Source organism: Homo sapiens, chromosome 1, assembly GCF_000001405.40.
Source record: "Homo sapiens chromosome 1, GRCh38.p14 Primary Assembly".
Lineage (NCBI taxonomy): Eukaryota > Metazoa > Chordata > Mammalia > Primates > Hominidae > Homo > Homo sapiens.
Genome location: NC_000001.11, coordinates 99262924 through 99283029, shown reverse-complemented (window position 1 = coordinate 99283029; position 20106 = coordinate 99262924). Strand labels below are relative to the sequence as shown.

General features: G+C 37.2%; 1 protein-coding gene across 3 annotated transcripts in view; it reads right to left on the bottom strand.

Annotated features, from left to right (window-relative positions):
* Positions 1-20106, bottom strand: part of PLPPR4 (phospholipid phosphatase related 4) — a 46661-nt gene extending 26555 nt beyond the window's left edge. For 2 of the 3 annotated variants that reach the window (NM_014839.5, NM_001166252.2), the window contains exon 1: positions 18359-18538. In NM_014839.5, the coding sequence (NP_055654.3) occupies positions 18359-18436 (78 nt within the window). In that variant the 5' untranslated portion in view covers positions 18437-18538. Of the gene's footprint in view, positions 1-18358; positions 18539-19746 lie in introns of those variants that run through there. The other variant, XM_011542498.3, reaches the window with a different exon arrangement.

The window sequence follows — 20106 nt, the reverse complement described above, 5'->3', positions numbered from 1 at the left end:
CCAGGTAAACAATATATATTTCATATATATAATATATATTATATATTAACTATATATTGCACATATATAATATATAATATATATTAAATATATATCAGAAAGATATATATATCAGAAAGAACACATACTATAAAGAAGAGGGCTGTGTAATTAAGTGCCTGAATTCCCATTTTAGATCTAGGAAGACCTATTTGAGTAGGTGCCATTTAAGCAGAGACTTGAATGGGCAAGAAAGAACTAGCCATATGAAAACCAGGTAAAGACCATAATCAAAAGGAGGAAGTGATACAAAATGAAGTCAGAGAGGTAGATTTGGGACCAGACGTTGCAGAGACCCGACGTCCAAGGAGGAAGTTAGAATTTTATTTAAAGTAGGATCAGAAACATTCTGGAGAGTTCAAGCAGAGGTGTAGTATGATTTGAAATGTATTTTACAAAGATCACTGGCTGTTAGATTGAGGATGATCATGGTGGGTCAAAAGTAGGAATAGGGTAAAAATTTAGAAGGCTGTTCAAAACTCAACAAATATTTATTAAATACCTAGTAGGCATCGGGTACTTCTCTAAGTGTAAGGAATGTAGCAGTAAACCAAACAGAGAAAACTCCATGCATTCACAGAGTTTACATTCTAGTGGATGCATGGCAATGGCGGAAATCCAGGAGAGATGAGACAGCATGTACTAGAGTTTAGTACTGGAGATACAAAGAAATCGGCAGATTGTTGATATGGTTTTGGACATAGATATGACAAACCTTGTTTATGGCTTGATCAATGAAGAAGATAAAACAATAAAGGTTGATTTCAAAGATGGGGTTTGAGGAATTAGGCCAGTAGTGTCATTCCTTGGGATAGGGAGAAGTTTGGATGGAAAGAATAGAAGATTCTGTTTTGAAAATATTAAAACTGTTACATCTCTTAGTTACTAAAGTAAGAGGTCAATTTGGAGCTAACAGGAGAGTCCAAGGCTGGAGGCATAAAGCTGAAAATTATTGGTACAAGATGATTTAAGCAGCAAAATCCTCACTTTTGGGGAACAACACTATCATAAGAGATTTCAAGGTTAAATTATTTTAGTTTTGATATAAGTAATGTCACAAGAAGTCAAAGAAAATAGTTGTGTATATTCATGCCAAACATATGCAAGAGCTATTCTAAGAGATTAAGGAAGATTTTAATATTAATAACACATTTAAAATGAGAGGCTTGGAACCAACTTTATAAATATCCCAAAATCATATATAATGTGAAATTTGAAACAATAACAGAATACATTGAAATTCAATTAAAACTGGGAAAAATACTAGCAGATCAAAGCAATTGTATTAAAGCCTGTAGCCATGAAGAAGATTGTCACAGGTCAACACACACGTGGTGAGGGAATTTTCTACTTCCTACAGTATGATCTTTAGTGGTATCCTGTAGTATTTTTTGCCTTGTAGCTAATACAGATTAATATTTTCTTCAAATATTGATAATAATAATAACATAATATTAGGCTTTATGGTATATAAAACTATCCTCACTCTAAGTATAGCATATTCAGATTGGCTGCAAAGAACTTCAAAAATATAGATTATAAACACAGACTAACACTTGAAGTGTCATTAAGGGAAATAATTGGTCAGAATGAGTCTGCAACATTACTTAAGGTCTAGAAATCTAAACTGGTTTTTATACATAAAACAGATGTGGCTTGTATGACATGAATAGATACAAATTGAAACAGGGCAGTGTGATTGAGGGAAACCAGTGCTGGCCTCAGAAGCAGGAGAATCCAGTTTCTCCCCTCATTTATTCTGCCAGCTTTTGGGATTTGGGAAAGTCACTTAACCTTTCTGGGCTTCATTTGTTATCAGTGAAATGAGGGGTTTTTTTACATTGCCATCTAATACTGAAATGCTTCATATACTGTCATGAATTAAGAATCATTTCTCTCATTTCTTTCACACTGTCACTGCCTTATATAAAGCATTAGGGCCTTTAAAAAAATCTCTATTCTCTTCATAATTTGTTTCATCCTCCACAATGTTTCCAAACTAATTTTCCTAGAATTCACACCTCATCATGCATTTAATGGTGCCCCATTAATAACAAAATAAAGTGCAAATTTTTTAGAATGATATTTATGACTTTTTAAAATATGGCCTTGATCTGCCTGTCTTGGTTGATTTTGCTTTCCACCTACTCTCCACTCTCCTAAACCAGAAAGACAGCCCATGTTCCCATTATATTTATATTTCAAAAAGACATGTTCTAGTCTCTGCTTCACATTATGGTTCCACATTTATTTCTCATAAAAATTGTACTTATTCTTTCAGGTTGAGATCATGTAATTTTTTTCTCCCTGAAACCTTCTCCAGGCTCTCCACTCAGAATTGAAGACTCCGTCTCACATACTTCATATATAACTTTATCGAAGGATCTGTTAGTCTGCCTTTGATTATAGTTATTTACATATTACCAACCCTTGCCCTAAGATCAAGTACTCAAGAGTGAAACCTTTGCAATTCACCCAGTGCTTTTAATGTTTTAGGTGTCCAATAAATGTTCACTGAATTTAATTGAAAGAAATCAAGAAATTATGATTAAAGGAACAAAAAACATAGGCAATTTCTGAAAAGTACACAGCATGTGTTGAGGACTTAGGTGCCAGATACTAGTTAAGTTTAAAAGATCGCTATATTCAATCTACACTGTATAAAGTATCTATTAGTATCCCCAGATTACAAATGAGAAAACTGAGGCAGAAATAGGTTATATAAATTGTGCAACAGCCACAAAGCCCCCAAATTGGGAACACCCAGACTCCTACCCAGGTGTCTAAGTTGGGAAACATGCTCAAAATTCTTTGCTCATGGAACTCAACTGGCTTTCCTCCTCCACACCGCTAAGATAACTGCATGTGGGGTGCCCATGTGGGGAGAGGGGGTCCTAGGGGAAAGGTGCAGTTTGAAAAACGCCACTCTGTTTCTCTTAATTCTTATTACTCTTAAACACATTCTCTACTCACTTATTCTTTATCACCCAAACATGAAAATTGCTTTGTTTGTTCCAATCTGAGATCTGTCTTTTCTAGAGCTCCTCTCAGTTTCAGTAGAATTTATTAGGTATGTACTTAGACCTAAAAAGCAAAGGACATTTACTGAGTTTTTATTTAGACATTTCATCCTAATTATCTACTTTAATTCTTAACCTCCTTGGGATCCCTAAGATAAATTTAAGATAAGGACCATGCCCCAGATAAGTAAAATAGCATGCCTGGCTTCAAAGGCCAGTAATTGAAACCTGGTCTGCTAAATTCCTGGAAGCATGCACCGCCGTGTATCCTGCTGTCATTCTGCCACATGTCACCATCTGGCACTAGTCTGGTGCTTTTCAGGAAAGGACAGCCCCAGGCTTCAATGAGATTGCCAGTTTAAAGGACACAAGGCGAGAGATGGCCATGTGTCAAGGGGTTTCAACGGCAACAACAGGAAAGGGGTGGCAGGCACTTTCAAATCACACTCTCACTGATGTGGTGCCCTCAGGTCCTGAACGTTATTCCTTGTGCAGTTTCTTTGAAGTTATTTGTATTATTTTGGTTTTGGGAATATCTTAAGAGCATTTAATTATATTTTGGATATGGTCTGCTTTTATTTTCACTTTTGTCTTCCCTAGTGAATGATTTCTAATATAAAGTATCAGAAATTAGGCAAACTTAAGGTTCCACATGTTTTCCTGCTTTTAGTGCTTCCTTCGGATCACTTTCTCTGACCATACAGAGATATCCTGATGAATGTCTAGATCATAGCAATTGTCATATGGGATGGCAGTTGTTCCTTTACATTCTCTCTTATTCAGCGACAAGATCCTTGAGAGCAGAGAAATAGTCTTATCCATCTCTTTATCCCTGACATACTAGGTGTCCCCAATATACAGTAAACTAATACATACATGGACAATTTGAAGAGAGATACCAAATGTTGAGACATTCTTGCAGTATTGTTAAGAAAATATCCACCATTTAAAAAGATCTTCATTTATTCTACCACAAGAAAATGCTTTCTATTTTGAATTTCTAGAACTCTAATGATTTCATTAGCATTAACAAATCAAGAAACTTAAATTGGATCCTCCATAGCAATGATAATTAATAGAGAAGAGCTACCTCACCTAATAGATGTATTAGGTTGAATGGGAAAAAAATCTGTTCTATGTTTTTATACCTGAATATGAAACTACATCTTTACAGCTCTAAAAGGACCAATGCAATCACACTGATGTAACAGTAAAGTCAAAAATAATGATAAGTGGTTGTTTTATTACCTGAATATTGATCTAGCACTAGGCTTGGGGTAGTTGGTTTTGCACTCACCAGACTTAACCTCAGGTAGTGAAAATTTGTTCTTCTTACATAATTAGACACTGAAGAATGTGCATTGTCTTGGAAAGCATTTTATTCTTTAAACCGTTAGAGACTAAGACCTGAGGCTGAGAATCTGTATTTCAATTATTAAAAGTAATTGCTTTTAAATCCTTTCTTCCAGCTGTAATTTCTCTTCCCTTACAACATACAGCTGACATTTAAAAATTTGGGTAATAATAGTAATTTAATGCTACTAATGTTTGACAGGTACCATTTAAAGTACTTTATATGTTTGAATTCATGCAATCTTCACAACACCTTTTTGATGAAGATACTATTATTACTGCCATCTTACAGATGAGGAAACTGAGATTACATGAGATTACATGATTTGTATGAGGTTATACAGTAAGATTCCATGATTTGTATAAGGTTATACAGCTTGTTAGCTGGATTACAAACTCAAGAAATCTGGCTTCCCAATTCATGTTTGTGATTATTGTACAGAATTACTGTATTCTACCTCTTCCTAGAAGCTTATACAATGGATCAATGGGTTTCCAAAGACATTGAGAAATAACAAAATAAAAAAGAGAATATTTCTTTTTATAGATAGTTAATGCTACCCTACAATTTCTATAGTGTGTGATATTGTATATATTCTTCATATCCTCTAAAAAGGTAAGATCTTAATATACTTAGATTAGTGTTTTCACTATTAGTGGGATTGTTTTATTCACACATAGAAAGCACACAGATGTTCACCTTGTAATAATGTCAGGCAAATGTGACATAACTAAAACTTCTACATGAGCGATCTTCAAAAGTCATGGAACATGTATATTATGAAAAAACTGTGAATGGATTTCAATTTTTTGCACCAAAATAAGCTCATACTCACTCATAACATATCTGAAAAAGATCTAGTTTGAAGCACCGAGAAGGATAAGATATCAGTTTGAAAAGAACCCCTGTCAGAGCAGCATGAGTTCTGCTAAAATTGAAGCAAGAACATGCATTGAATTTATGATGAAGCTTTAGTAGAAGAATGGCAAAATCATTGATAATTTGCAGAAAGTTTATAAATACAAGAAATCAGCAGTTTACAAATGGATAATTCATTTTAAGAAGGGAAAAGATGATGTTGAAGATAAAGCCCACAACATCAGACCATCCACATCAATTTGCAAGGAAAACATTTGTCTTGTCCATACCCTAATTGAAGAGGACTGACTATTAACAACACAAACAATAGCCAACAACATAGACCTCTCACTTGGTTCAGCTTACACAATTCTGACTGAAACATTAAAGTTTAGCAAACTTTCCATTCAATTGGTGCCAAAGCAACTGTGGCCAGATTGGCTGCAGACAAGAGTAGAGCTTTCAATGGACAAAAATAAACAAGTAGGATCAAAGTCCTGAAGCATTTCCTCAAAGAACTGTAACAAGTGATGAAACATGGTTTTATCAGTATGATCCTGAAAACAAAGCACAATCAAAACAATGGCTACCAAGATGGGAAAGTGGTCCTGGCAAAGCAAAAGTGGACTGGTTAAGAGCAAAGTTCATGACAACATCGTTTTGGGATGCTCAAGGCATTTTGCTTGTTCACTTTCTGGAGGGCCAAAGAACAGTAATATCTGCTTATTATGAGAGTGTTTTGAGAAAGTTAGCCAAAGCTTTAGCAGAAAAAAGCCCAAGAAAGCTTTGCTAGAGAATCCTTCTCCATCATAACAATGCTCATCCCTCTCACCAAACATGGGCAATTTTGTGAGAGTGTCAATGAGAAATCATTAGGCATCCATTTCACAGTCCTAATTTGGCTTGTTCTAACTTCTTCTTGTTTTCTATTCTTAAGAAATCTTTCAAAGGCACCCATTTTTCTTTAGCTGATAATGTAAAAAAGATTGCAATGATATGGTTAAATTCCCATTAGCATCAGTACTTTAGGAATGGACTAATGGTTTTTATCATTGCTTACTAAACTATCTTGAACTTGATAGAGCTTATCTTGAGAAATAAAGTTTATATTTTTTGTGTTTATCTTTTAATTCCATTTTTTCCATGAACTTTTAGAAGTCCCCTTGTATTTGAGTTATAGCATAAGAGAAGCAAATTTCTGATTTTGAGATTTAAATTGACATATAATCTTAACATTATATACACAGGAATGACTGAATTAAAGACCATCAGTGTTTCTAAATTAATTATGTTTTCATGATGTTTATTAAAATAAAGTATCAATTTTATTATTAAACCATTTTACTTAAATATTATGAAAGTTCATATTTTCTATTACATTCAATGCTTAACAAATACTTTTTAGTATTTTCCATGTGCCTGATACATTTTATTTGACCTATTAATTATCCAGAAAAGGAATTTCTCATCTAATTTCAGAGATTAGAACGCTCTAGCATATCACAAGCTTCTCTTCCCTCTAAGCTTGTCTCCTACATACACATCTTTATACACACTTAGATGCACACTTAGATGCCCATTATGAGCCCTTCTTCAAAGTTAAGTTTCCAATGCTGCTGAAGGCCTTAGTTATTTAAGTTTCATTTTTGAAAAGGCTTGGTGTATGTAAAAGAGATATTGAAGTTGAGCACTTAATGTGGGACATTAATAACTTCTATTTTATTTTCTAACATTTTAATGCTGTGATTAAGTTAATTAAAGTAAGTAGGATTGTGTTATGTGTTTTACTGGAAAACGTCAGTCCTTGTGATTCTTAGGGTCATCTCATATGAGGTACCTCATACCCCTCTCCCTCTCCCTACTGTGCTGCATTGACCTCTGGAATCTTAGGAAGGTGAAGGGTAGTGGTGGAGGAAGAAACAGCCTCCTGAGTTTGGTGGGCTGGGGGATTTGGAATGAGCAGTTCTTAAAGTTTTTTGTAGTCCCATAAAGTAGGCATTTTCTAGGATGTGCTACACTTGGCCCTTGTCAGTCATGTTGGAACATACATTTGAGCAGTGAAGTCTTAGCAATCTCTTCCTCTATTTCTGAACAGGACTGAAAGAACCACTAGCCTTTAAGGTCAGCCAAAGAATAATGTGGCCAAGGCCAAAGCCAAAGCTGAGGTTCAGTCCAGGCTCTGTCTCCCTATATTCATTAATTAAGCTGCTAGATTTATTGACCTACGCAACGACGAATCCATCACAGATTTATTGAGAGACTGTCTGCTCTCAGCTATTTGCATTGTTCTACAGGCTGGAGTTTAAAAATAAATAATAAAAAGAATTTTTCCTTAATTATGTCCTGGGCCAACCGTCTAAAAATTACCAGAACCAATATTATCTATGGAATAACCATTAGTCTGAGACTGAAATATTGAAAGATGTAACACCATCAAATAATTTTTCTTCATGTACATAAAATTCAACTGGAAGCTAGAAACCAAATGAGGTCTTAAAGGAGAAGAGTTTTCAAAAATTCATCTCCCTATAGTATATTGTTTATAACAGATTGCTGACCATCCTTTTTATCAGGTTTTGCCATGAAGAAGACATTATTTATGTCCAAATCTTCACAGTTGGATGTTCTTCATGTTTTAATAACTCAAATCTCAGTTGCTACAATACAGGCATTTTCAGATCATCACCCAAGGGATAAGTAACCTGTTAATTCTTCAGGGTGTATCCAACTGCCTTAAAAAAAAAGATTCCAATGAATCATACAATAGCCTAAATGAGATGACTCATTCCCAAAGACTAAATCTAATTTATTCATCATTTTTAGAAAGCATAATATTCTTTATTTCACAGATGGCTCAGTTGAGGCATGGGAAGATATTTAATTTGCATTGAACAGACACTGCTGCTGACGAGTTTATATATGATATTTTAGAACTCTGGAAAGATAAGAATGGCAGTGGCTTACAGATTATGGGCCTACCAACAACCTTGGAGTAGAGACTTTCAGTAGAGTGTTACCTGGGCACTGTGTATAGAAGACACACAGTAAATGAGAATTCCCCTCCACTGACTAGGTCAAGGTAAGGGTACTGAAAAAAAGTGGTCTCTATTTTGTGAGTGTGTGCATATGTCCCTCTATCTATAAAAATGAGCAGGAATTCCAGTAAATATTTGTTGTTGTTGTATTATACATTGTAATAAACTGCTCCACCATTGTATGCACACTGTATAAAACATACATAAATGTGTGATACCAATAAAAAACAATCAGGAGAACCAGCCCCTTTCCAGGGAATCAGGTAGCATCTAAAGCTACCACAAAGTTTACTTTAGACAAGATGGGAGAGGGGGTGTTGGTAAATGGGACAGAGAAAATTCATTTACTAGGCCTGTCTTTGCTTTAGAATTCTTGGCCATATTTTATAATTTGCATATGATTAAAGGGTCATAATTACTCTAACCTGACCACAATAGTTCCATCATTTTCAAATGAGAAAAATGAGGCTTAGAGAAAATAAGTTAACTGCCCAAGATTCTAAAGCTAATTGGTAGATCAAGTAAAAAAGAAAACTATATTCTTTTAAAAAAGTAAAAAAAAAATATATCTAATAGTTTGTTTTACCATAGGCACAGAAAATTGTTTGCTGGTATATGCACCTTATGTAACTAAAATAACTTTCTATGAAAATTAAAATTGCAAAGTTCTTTGCTTCAGTGATGCCTTTATTTGAAATTTCAAATCTCAAACAATCCATAGGTAAGTCCTAGATTATAAAATGAACGTAAGTACAATTAAGAGATGAGGACTCATATAGACCTTGGATATTGATCTAATCTTCAACTGTTCAATAATCCACAAGGCCGAGCAATATCTCTGATAGGCAATTTATGATCACTTTACAAATAAAAATGTCTCCACCAGCTGATAAAAGACAGTTAAAGAAAAATTTATGTTCATATGATTAGTCCTATTTTATTACATCCAGTTAAAATTTATTGAAATTCTACTATAGACCGGAAAGTATGCCAGTGATGATTCCATTTTGTTTCTATTACTTTTACCAAAAGTCACATCATAAGCAATTGATATTTATTCAACACATAAATAAATTGTTGTAAGAGTACAAAACAGGTTATACCCTGGAATTTCATTTTAGCATTCCTTATTGAAGAACATTTAATAAAAGATCAGTCTCTTTTGGACTCTATCCATGAGGACTTAATTTCTGAAGCATGCCTAGGATTTCATTAAATGGCAGTTTACCTCTAAGCAAACCCATAGCGCAGACTTTTGGTAAGAGCATTAAATTGTTAACGATATAGTCACATCTACTTCCATTGCTCTCACTCCCAAACATCATTCTTCTGTTAAATGTATGATTCCATGTTTACCTTTTCCCACAAATACATTGATTTTAATTACTCGTCTTTCCCCTTTTCTTTAATTTATTCTTAAGTGATCTAAATACCAGTTTTACACAGGCAGAAACCATCTTGTTACAGCAAATAAGAAAGCCATTAACCTCCTCTATGTTGCTTGACAGCCAACCAGATAGTTATGGACCTAAGTGCAATTGGTTCAGTCTAATTATTGGTAAGAAAAACACCTCAATGTTAGTTCTGCCAAAATTAGTATTTCTATCCTTGGCATCCATATTACAAAATCCACTTGACCATGAAAAGATTACTCCATTCGATAGTTATCTGTAAATACATTTCTCAGCTAATTCATACCATAAAAGGCTACCATGATGCTCATAATTAGACATTTCACAGTTTAAATATCACCTTTTTTTTTCTTCTGACCAAGATGAAAAATAGCACTACTTGAGTTTTAGGCAAGTTTTTGGACTTCCCTGAGTCTTCGTTACTTAAGTTTTAAAATAGAGTTTATATTTACTTCTCAGTTGCATTTAGAGGATCAGATGAGATAATGTATGAAAAATTTACATTGAAGTATAAGGGAAAATTCAAAGCTATTCCATAACTGATGACATAAATTATATTCTTACTGCTTCCCATGTTTATACTTCCCTGTACTCTCTGTTAGAGACCTCATGTCAAGGGAGTTAATTGTGAAATTACAGGTGGGCACTTAGGCAATGAGAAAAATCCCTCCTAATTTTCTAATCTTTAGCTATTACCGTGCTTTTCAAAGAGCCTAACAATTTGGAACAGTGGAAGATCCATTCATAATTGCTTTGACTTGTTTAATGTAAGGTGGTCATGAAATGTGTTTGGAAGTTAGCACAAACAGCCAGCGCAATTTGTTCACATGTAGAATTAGAATGACCTGTATTTTAAATGTTATAATCCAGAGGGAAACTTTCTAATAAAAGGAATTCTAGAAATAGTAATAATTAGGAAAGAGCACTAGAACAGGAGTCAGGAGACCTAGGTTCTATTCCTGATCTGATATTAACCAGTGTGTCCTTAGGTAACGCTGGCATACTTGATGTGTCCAAAGGTTAACTCAGTTAACCTTTTCAAAGCAAAATTTTCTTAGGTGGTAGAAGAAACAGTGAGGCCATATGTTCTTGGATCGCATAATTTTATTAGCCTTATCTCTGTAATAAGACTTTTAAACTCTGTGAGACATTTCCTCACCTTTTAAATACAAAAGTTGCTTGAGAAATAGCCTATGCTGTATACATATGCTGAGAGAAAATGTGTTTGCTTTGAGTAATATTTGTAATACATTTCCAACATAAACAGCAATAATTGTGTCTCAAATAATCTTTATTTAATAAGCCAGCTTAGAAAACCAAAATGTTTAAAGGGGTCTCCATGGTTTGCTCACAGATTGGATCTCCATCACACACACACACACACACACACACACACACACACACACACACACTTCACTCCTACCTTCAATTTTCTAATGCTTTTTCTTCTAATCCTGCTTGACTTGACCTCTCTCTGTTTCTATTACCTTGTTGAGTTTCTTTCTTTCTATCATTTGGACACACCTACATATTCTACTCTCCTAAACTCTATTTAAGTTCCAAGTCTTCCCTCTCACCCCCACCCACTGATCCTCATTAATCTTCATCAGAGACTCATGGGTGCCATTTGTGCTTGCCCAGAGGACGCTTCTTTTTAGGGGACACTGTGCCTTCTAGACATGTCAAAAATTAAACCAGTTACTATTAAGTAGGAAATACCACTAATACAGCCAAGTTTAGTAGCTGAATGTAGAGAAAAACTCTGTTCCAGAACTCTGACAGAGCCACAAACAGACATGTTTCAAATGCATGCATCCAGATACCATGAAGCTAGCCAAGTCACAGCACAGACAGGGCTCTCCATTGCACTTCATCACTAGGTTTAGCATTGTTGTTGGAAGCATGTGTGAGACAGTATGGTGTAGTCATAATGCAAGAGCAAGATGGACAAGCTCTGAAATCCTGACTCCCTCACTTCATTGCTATGTGTCCCTGGTAAAAACAGTAGCTCTCTGAGCTACAATTTCTGATTCAAAAAATAAAGATAACAATGCCTTCTCAGTAGGGTAGTTCTCAGGACTAAAAGTAATGTATCTAGAGAGTCTGCCATATAAAGAAGACTTGAAATGAACTATTCTTTGTTATTACTATGATTATTATCATCATTATTAAAATCTCCTTGAAATTGGCAGAAACCAAGTATTTTTTATTTCCTGATAGAGAAAAGTAGAAAAAAATCACATTTTGAGTAACTTGGCCATGAAGAAACAGTAAGATAGTGGTGGTGTTTAGGAATAGAAAATAATTCCCTAATAGCAAGTGCTATGTTCGATGCTTAGATTTGTAGAAATGTCCTCATTTAACTCTATCTCTAAAACTTAGGACTCTGTTCTCTATTTACTTTATTTTGCATCAGACTTTATGCATTGTGACTTTGAAAGAGAAGAGACTTGCCAACTCATCTCATTTGGCAGGGTTTGAAGTACTTCTTTAAGCAGACTCTACTTCTATACAATCTAGAGAAGAGAAAAAAATCTACAGCTACTATTTTGGTATATGCAATGCAGAAATGTGATTTTGTATTTCCTACTGATGCTAAAGTTTATGTAAAAGGGAATAGACTAGCAATATTTCTCAGCAAGAAAATCAAATGAGTTATATAATTTGTACATAGATCATGAGATAGAAGAGAAATCTTGTGAATTAATGTTTGCTACAATTAAAAACCTGTGGACACTTTCCAATGGAAAGAAAATAAAAATTGTATTAAGGTTTTGTCAAGAAGCCACAATTTCAAAATGTGTGTCTTTGCTCAAAGGCTTGTTGAACTTCCCCAGGTAGGATGGCAACAGAGTAGCAGCAATGGCTTCTTCTTCTGAACAAACTGTTTAGTTACTGACCTTATAGTAATTAAGCTCCATTAACAAAATCCTGCAACGTATCTACTGCTAAGTACACATTCAAAGTAATGAAAACTTTCTGAGTAGGCCAGGTGCAGTGGCTCATGCCTGTGATCCCAGCACTTTGGGAGGCTGAGGCGGGAGGATTGCTTGAGCCCAGGAGTTCGAGACCAGCTTGGGCAACATGGTGAAATCCTGTCTCTACTAAAAATTATAAATACTAGCTGGGTGTGGTGGTGCATGCCTGTAGTCCCACGTACTCAGGAGGCTGAAGTGGGAGAATCATTTGAACCTGGGAGGCAGAGGTTGCAGTGAGCTGTGATCATGCCACTGCAATCCAGCCTGGGTGACAGAGCAAGACCCTGCCACACACACACACACACACACACACACACACACACACACACACACACAAAAGGAATGAAAACTTTCTGAGTAATCTTAATTTTTTGAGATTAAAATATTCTGAATTGGAATGCTTCAGATACTGTAATTTTATGCTGAGTGGAGAGAGAGATGATATTCTTACTCCATGTGTATTTGTACATACCTATGCACAGAAGTGTGTGCATACATATGTGTCTTTGTGTGTTTTCTCGTATGAATAACAGGCAATTTCAAACTCTTTTCTCTATCTGTAGCCCTGTCAAAATATATTTGCATATAGGTCAAGCATAACTCTTCTGCCTTCATAAAATTAGCATCAGGTTTGTCATAAAAATGTTATATCATATAGCAGAATGTTTAAGTAAAAAGAATCCCTTTCCCATTTATTTCATGTTAGGAATTTATATTTTTTTAGGCTTAAAAAGGTAATTTGTCATTTGTTTACATTATATAGTGAATTGATCTTTGAGCAGGATGACTAATGAGAATAAAATTGTGAGCCTGAGCCCCAGAGGGACCACTGTAATTCTTTGCATAAAGGAAGTGCACTAGCCCCAGACAACCAGCCTTATCACATATAATATTGGGCTATGCCCAAATAATTATAAATCATTCTACTATAAAGACACATATACACATATGTTTATTGCAACACTGTTCACAGTAGCAAAGACTTGGAACCAACCTAAATGCCCATCAGTGATATTCTGGATAAAGAAAATGTGGCACACATTCACCATGGAATACTATGCAGCCATAAAAAAGGATGACTTCATGTCCTTTGCAGGGATATGGATGAAGCTGGAAACCATCATTCTCAGCAAACTAACACAAGAACAGAAAACCAAACACCAGATGTTCTCACTCATAAGTGGGAGCTGAACAATGAGAACACATGGACACAGGGAGGGGAACATCACACACCAGGGCCTGTGGGGGTTGGGGGGCTAGGGGATGGATAGTATTAGGAGAAATACCTAATATAGGTGGCAGGTTGATGGGTGCAGCAAACCACCATGGCACGTGTATACCTATGTAACAAAACTGCATGTTCTGCACATGTACCCCAGAACTTAAAGTATAATAATAAACAAAAAGTTTGAATACTCTTTTGTTAACTCTAGGTATACTGCTGGCTGCAATTGCCACTGTAAGTGATACAGCCATCACTTGCAGTGTACTTGGGAACTTTAAGGGCATGATAAACCTTTTCTCTAGTGGAACATTGCTTTTTACCTGCTTTTCTCTTTATCCTAATAAGGTGTGGGTATGCTTGTCTGAGAGTTCTTTTCACAACTTGACCTTTGTTTTCCCAGGCTGTACAGTGTAAAACTGAGTTAAGAAACTTGCTCATAAAATGAGGTGCAAAACTAAAAATCATCGTATTTTTCAAGTCACCATCTAATATTACTGTCAACCATAAGCCATTTCATTAGCAAGCAGCAGCATAAACCAAAAATGTAAGAAAAAAATAATTCTATCCCTAAATTCTATCCCTTCAACTAATGTGTGCTTTAACATCAGGTATCGTGGTGAACAAGGACAAGATTACTTGGTTTTAGTGGCTGAACACCAACACCTCAGCCTAATGCCCATTGGGGTATAATTAGAGATACCTTGACACTCTGCAAATGGGCTGCCAACATCTTTACTCCTTCCTTGCATCTATCCAGAGTTCTTGTTGAGGGGCACTAGCCACTAACTGATGAGCCAATGTGGGGAGTATGCACTGTCCTCCAACTCTTTGTGCTTGGACACTCCCAGTGGAGGAGGAACTGAGCTGAGGAAGCTGATCTGTTGCCAGAGAAAACTGTATCACCCTGTTTGTCAGTGTGCCCTTGCCTTACTACATCTTCCTTTTTTACCAGTGAGAAACAATAGAAAGTAACTTTGCCTATGTGAATGTTCTTTCAACAAGTTGAGAGAGATTGTTATTGCAGTGGTGAAGAGCGTGACCTTTGAGTTAATACCCAGCCCTGCCTCTAACTTTGCTTTATAAAATTGGGCAAGTTGTTTAACTTTTATGAGTTTCAGTTTCTTCTTCAAAACACAGATAATAATGGCCTCTTTCTTAAAGAGAAACTTTGAAGATTGAACAACATGGTGGATGTAAAGCATTTAGCTTTATTGTTAGTACATACTAAGTACTTTATAAATGGTTGTCATTATTCTTGTACAAACTGTAAATAGTACTTCACTCTCCCCATTTGTGTCAATTAATACAAGTCCATTTCAAGAAGCCTGTGGAGCCCAAACTATTTCTAGAAATTGGGGAGAAGATGACTTCTTCTCAACAATGGGAACTCTTAAGCTAGACCTTGTCAGGACTTGATCCCTTAAGTCCAAACTATAAGTAAAATAATTTATTTCAGGTCAAGAACAGTTATAAGAAAGGAAAGGAACTAACATATCTTGATTGCCTACCATATCTCAGTCATGATCCTTTAACCTCATAATATATTCAATATTCTAAGATGTAGGTATAATAATTTCTCTTATGTATGAATACAGGTGTATTTATATTTATATTATGTAAATTCTATTATATGTGAAGAAACTAAGGATGAGAGAAGTAACTTGGCCAGAATTATTCATGTAGTATCTGGCAAAGGCGGTGTTTGAACCAAGTCAATCTGTCTGCAAGGCCCAGGATTTTCCTAGAGCATGCTGCCATTTTCCTGACACAACTCAGTCCATCTTGATTTCAGCCCCCTCTGGCTCGAGTGTAAGTTTCCCTTCCCTCATTTTCCCAATTAAAGTTTCTTCACATCTCATACCTATCATGAATTAGTAATTTAAAACTTCTAAACTCCTTGAAAAAAGGCAAAGTGTAAGTTGCTCATGGTGTCACTGACTTGAGAACCAGGGACTGTTTTCTCCTGAGATCTGTTTTGTTAGCCTCTTCTTGTTACTTAAATTATGGTTTGAGTAACAGAGAAGGCTAAAAATATATGCTTTAGACTGATATGTGATGGAAGGAGATTCACTCATGTTTCACTTTTCCATCTTAATTTCTAAGGTCTTGGGAAACTATGCTGTAAAGCAAAGTGTCATTACTCTAGAGCATTTTACTAACATGCAAATTCCAGCTATGTTTATTCATCCTACGAAGGAGATGTAAATTTAGTGCATTCTCACCAGCTTCAAAATGAGTCATTTCAAAGGAGCGTGATAGTGCATGTGGTCAAACCCTTAAATAATTTTTATACTAATGCAGTCTCCCATTTTCTGGAGGCTCTTTAGTGGTTCATCATGCATTTAATTTTTAGGAAGATAATTTGCAATCCAATTGTGTGGCTCTGTCTTTGAAGTCTGTTAACCCCAAGATACAGTGTCATCAATGCTCATTTAAACTCCATGAATTGTGTTCAAGTAATTGTTCTACAGCTTGCCCTGCTAAGGAATTCATAGAGGGTATCTGAATAGGCCAAAGTAAAAGTAATGAATCTGGGCTATTTCCACTCATGGAAAAGAAGTAACAATTGTGAGATGTCTGTTCCTAAACACACAATTCAATTGCATTATGAGGCACTTGTACTTTTAAAATTCTTGCTTAAGGGACATGTACTCCGGTTAAAGATGCCTCAAAAGCGCCCACGTACATTCTGTAAAGGCACATCCTTAATTCTCTGGTTTGCCTCCTCTTTCATGAGGGCATTTTCCTTGAAGCCATATAGCTGCAACCCACATGTAGTCAGCTTCTAGCTGACCTCAGGTGTGTTCCTTCCTGGAGATGGAACTCAGCCATTAACTGATTTCTCCTAGACAAATGTCATTGATTCAGACACAAATGAAATCACTATAATACAAAACTACACGGATTAGCCATGCGACAAGTGGTCTGATGGATTGAACTTGAAGGCAGGTATCTCATCTTTCTATTCCTTCACCATTTTCATCATGGAATCTTCTGCTACCTACATTTTTCTTGAGAAAGCTCTTTATTATCTTTCAACAAAAATTACCTAAACCATGTTCCCAAAAATCTCTTGTGAAAAGAGAAAGGATAATAAATGGATTCATTATTTTAAATACATAGATTTTTTTTTCTTCTTTTCTATGGTTCATGAATGCAGGGGTCACCCATCATTTCTCTGAAAGTTATGCAAGTCACATACATCTTTCTTGAAACTGAAATTATTTAAAAAATCTATGACACTTCTACAAAACTTCCAAATATATTGTTACCTATAAGAACAGTCCGACAATGTCTCTTCTCCCAAGTTTCAAGGCAGTGACTATTCCTCAGGACAGATAAGCCTTACAATCATTGAATACAGAATCTACTGTTTGCACTTCGAAGGGCTAAACCTCCATATTTGGCTGAAAAGATGGCCAGAGAAGGATATTTATGATTCAGCAACAGTCTTATAATTCTCTATGCAACCCAGACTCTAACTAAACAGAATATAGTTTTGTGCCTAAAACCATCTGATTTCCCTAAATCTATGCAATACAACCCTTCAGTATCTGTAATTTAATAAACCTCTTGCTTAAAAATGTCTTCCTAATGCAATGGAGCACAGTACACGGAATCACTGTATCTGCCAATCTTTATAACACTCCTATGAATTGTTTCTCCCTCAAATACTGCATTTTGGTAAGTTAGAGGGTCATTACGGATACATCTGCATTTAATTGTTTATCTATAATACTGCTCAGCACAGTAAATACTCAGATACAAATCATGTAAAATCAGATGATGTCATAGATTTAAAATATTATATATAGTTATGTATACACACATATATAATATGTATTTTTTACTGTGGAAAGAGGCCAGTACATTGATGATTGATGTTTAGAGATGCAGATCCAATTTCAGAAGCGTATGTGAGCACCAAAATAATATAATAGGAGAAGGATTTGGGGGGGGGGGGCAGGAGCAATAAAAGCAATTAACAATATTTGTACTATGTAAACACCTTCAACCCTCATATGCCCTAGGCATAGCTGTGTGCACACGGAGTTCCCGACACGTACTCGGCAGGTTGAAGACACAAATCCCGAAATATGGGCATCATGGCCCCTCTGGGGCACTAGCGGACGTTGTGCACACAGGCACTACAGGAGGGCCAAGGAACTAAAACCACACTCACTCACACAGGTATCCGTTCCCTGCAGGCCACCCAGCAGCGACACCTCTAATGGTAATCACCCCGGGCTGACAGGTATTCACAGGCACATTCGGGGAGCTGCTGTGAAATCTAGGGGAAGAGGGGAGGGTCGGGCATTTGGGGACAGCCGCGCGCGCCCGGCAGGATCTCTGCGCCTCCAACACTGTCCAGGACCTGAATTCGCTCAGGAGATGCCCAGAGGATCTGCATTATGCCAAGGCACTGGGCCAACTCACCTCGACGAAATAAAAGCAGGGCAGGAGGGTGACGCTGTCCTTGATCACTTTGCCCTTTGGCCTCTCCTTCGCCGACATCCCTGCCGCCTGCCCGGGTCTGCGTCCTCCCCCGGGCGAGGTGTGCACAGCGCAGCTGAGGCGAGCTGCCTCCTCCAGCCCCAAGCGCCCGGCGCCGCTGATGTCACATTCCCCGCGGCCACCGCTGGAGCCAGCGCGCTGCATGCAGCGCCCCCGCCTTCTCCCCGCCCCTTTTTGCAGCAACCCAGCTATTCCCTGAGCGGGCCAGTCCTCTTCCTCCCCTAGTCTGGCTCCTGCTCCCCGTTTTTCTGGCGAGAGACGACGTCCAGCTCCCTCCTCCAAGCTGTTGCTGCAATGGCTTCCCCTCCCTGTCACCCTCCCTCAGCTCTCTACCGCCCTTGCGACGCTCCAAGGCTGTCGGAGCTTGACGTCAAGAATCCGAAAAGGAGGACGCACTCCTGGTTTCTGCAGTAGTTAGGCTGAGGAGCTAAGCCACCTAGTCTCCTCCTGGGGAGCCTCCTAGGTCACTCTAGGAATGCTATTAAAGAATGCTAAGGATCAGAAGCCCTGCTCCAGCGCGCTGACCCATAGCAAGAAAACCAACCCCTACCTCCACGAAATGAGATCTTGGATCCCATACTGAAAAGTAGGCTGAGGTAGGCATTAACTGACAGCTTGTTGCTACCCAGGAATGACAGCTCCTACGGGGGATTCTCTGCCTAGGAGACTCCTTATCTCCCTTCCATATCGAAGCACCCACTAACAAACACTACCGGTTGTGTGGGAATGATGTGGGTTCCTTGCATCCAGAGAGGCAGATGTGTGAATGCACAGGTAATGGGCATCCTCATTGAGCCCAGAGGCTACTGTATGTTCTAATCTCACTGTCACACCCCCAGAACAGTGTCAGTATTGCAATCATAACAGTAAAAAGAAGTATGTCTTCAGATATTAATAATCTAAAGTCCTTCATCTTGTTGGCAGTATACATGGCTAGTCTCAATTTTGTGATTACTTTGGCAACCAGAAGTATCAAGTTGATATAGAAGAGAGAAAGACCCAGCAAACACGAGACATGATATTATACTAATAAAGATGACCTAATTTTGTGATCACATGTCCCAGGCCATTTCCAATATCTCCAAGTCTCCATTTCAAGCATGTGATGGCCAATTCCCAACTCATTTATCCATTTCCCTTTTTTAGTTGCTCCTCCAATAGGTCTTTGGCAGTATGGGACCATCCTATCTAATAATATACTCATTTCACTGCCAACACCACCTCTTGCCCCCACTTTCTTCTGCCAGGCTTGGGTTCCAAAGTCTAGCAATATAATTGCTTGTTTCCGCCTCCCAATTTGCCATACTCACCTGATAATATCCCGGCTTAGTTGAACCCAATTCTCTGCCCTTACCAGAGCAACTGAAAGTGGCTGGAGAAAAACACACAACCGCATGATGCTGTCTCACATCCAACTCATGACCACAAACTCCAAGTAGGTCCTGGAGTTGCCCCCACGATTCTATAATTTTTTCTGTCCAGCCATTTTCCCATTCACAACTTCTCACTTCTCAAATCTCCTCATTCTCAGTTCATGACATTAACTCTTATTTCACTTAGAAAATAGAAGTAATCAGAAGAGAACTACATCTTCTTCCTAAACTCAGTGCTTGCCCTCACCCCCCACCACACACAGCGACCGCCATCTCTTGCCTAGACTGGAATAACCT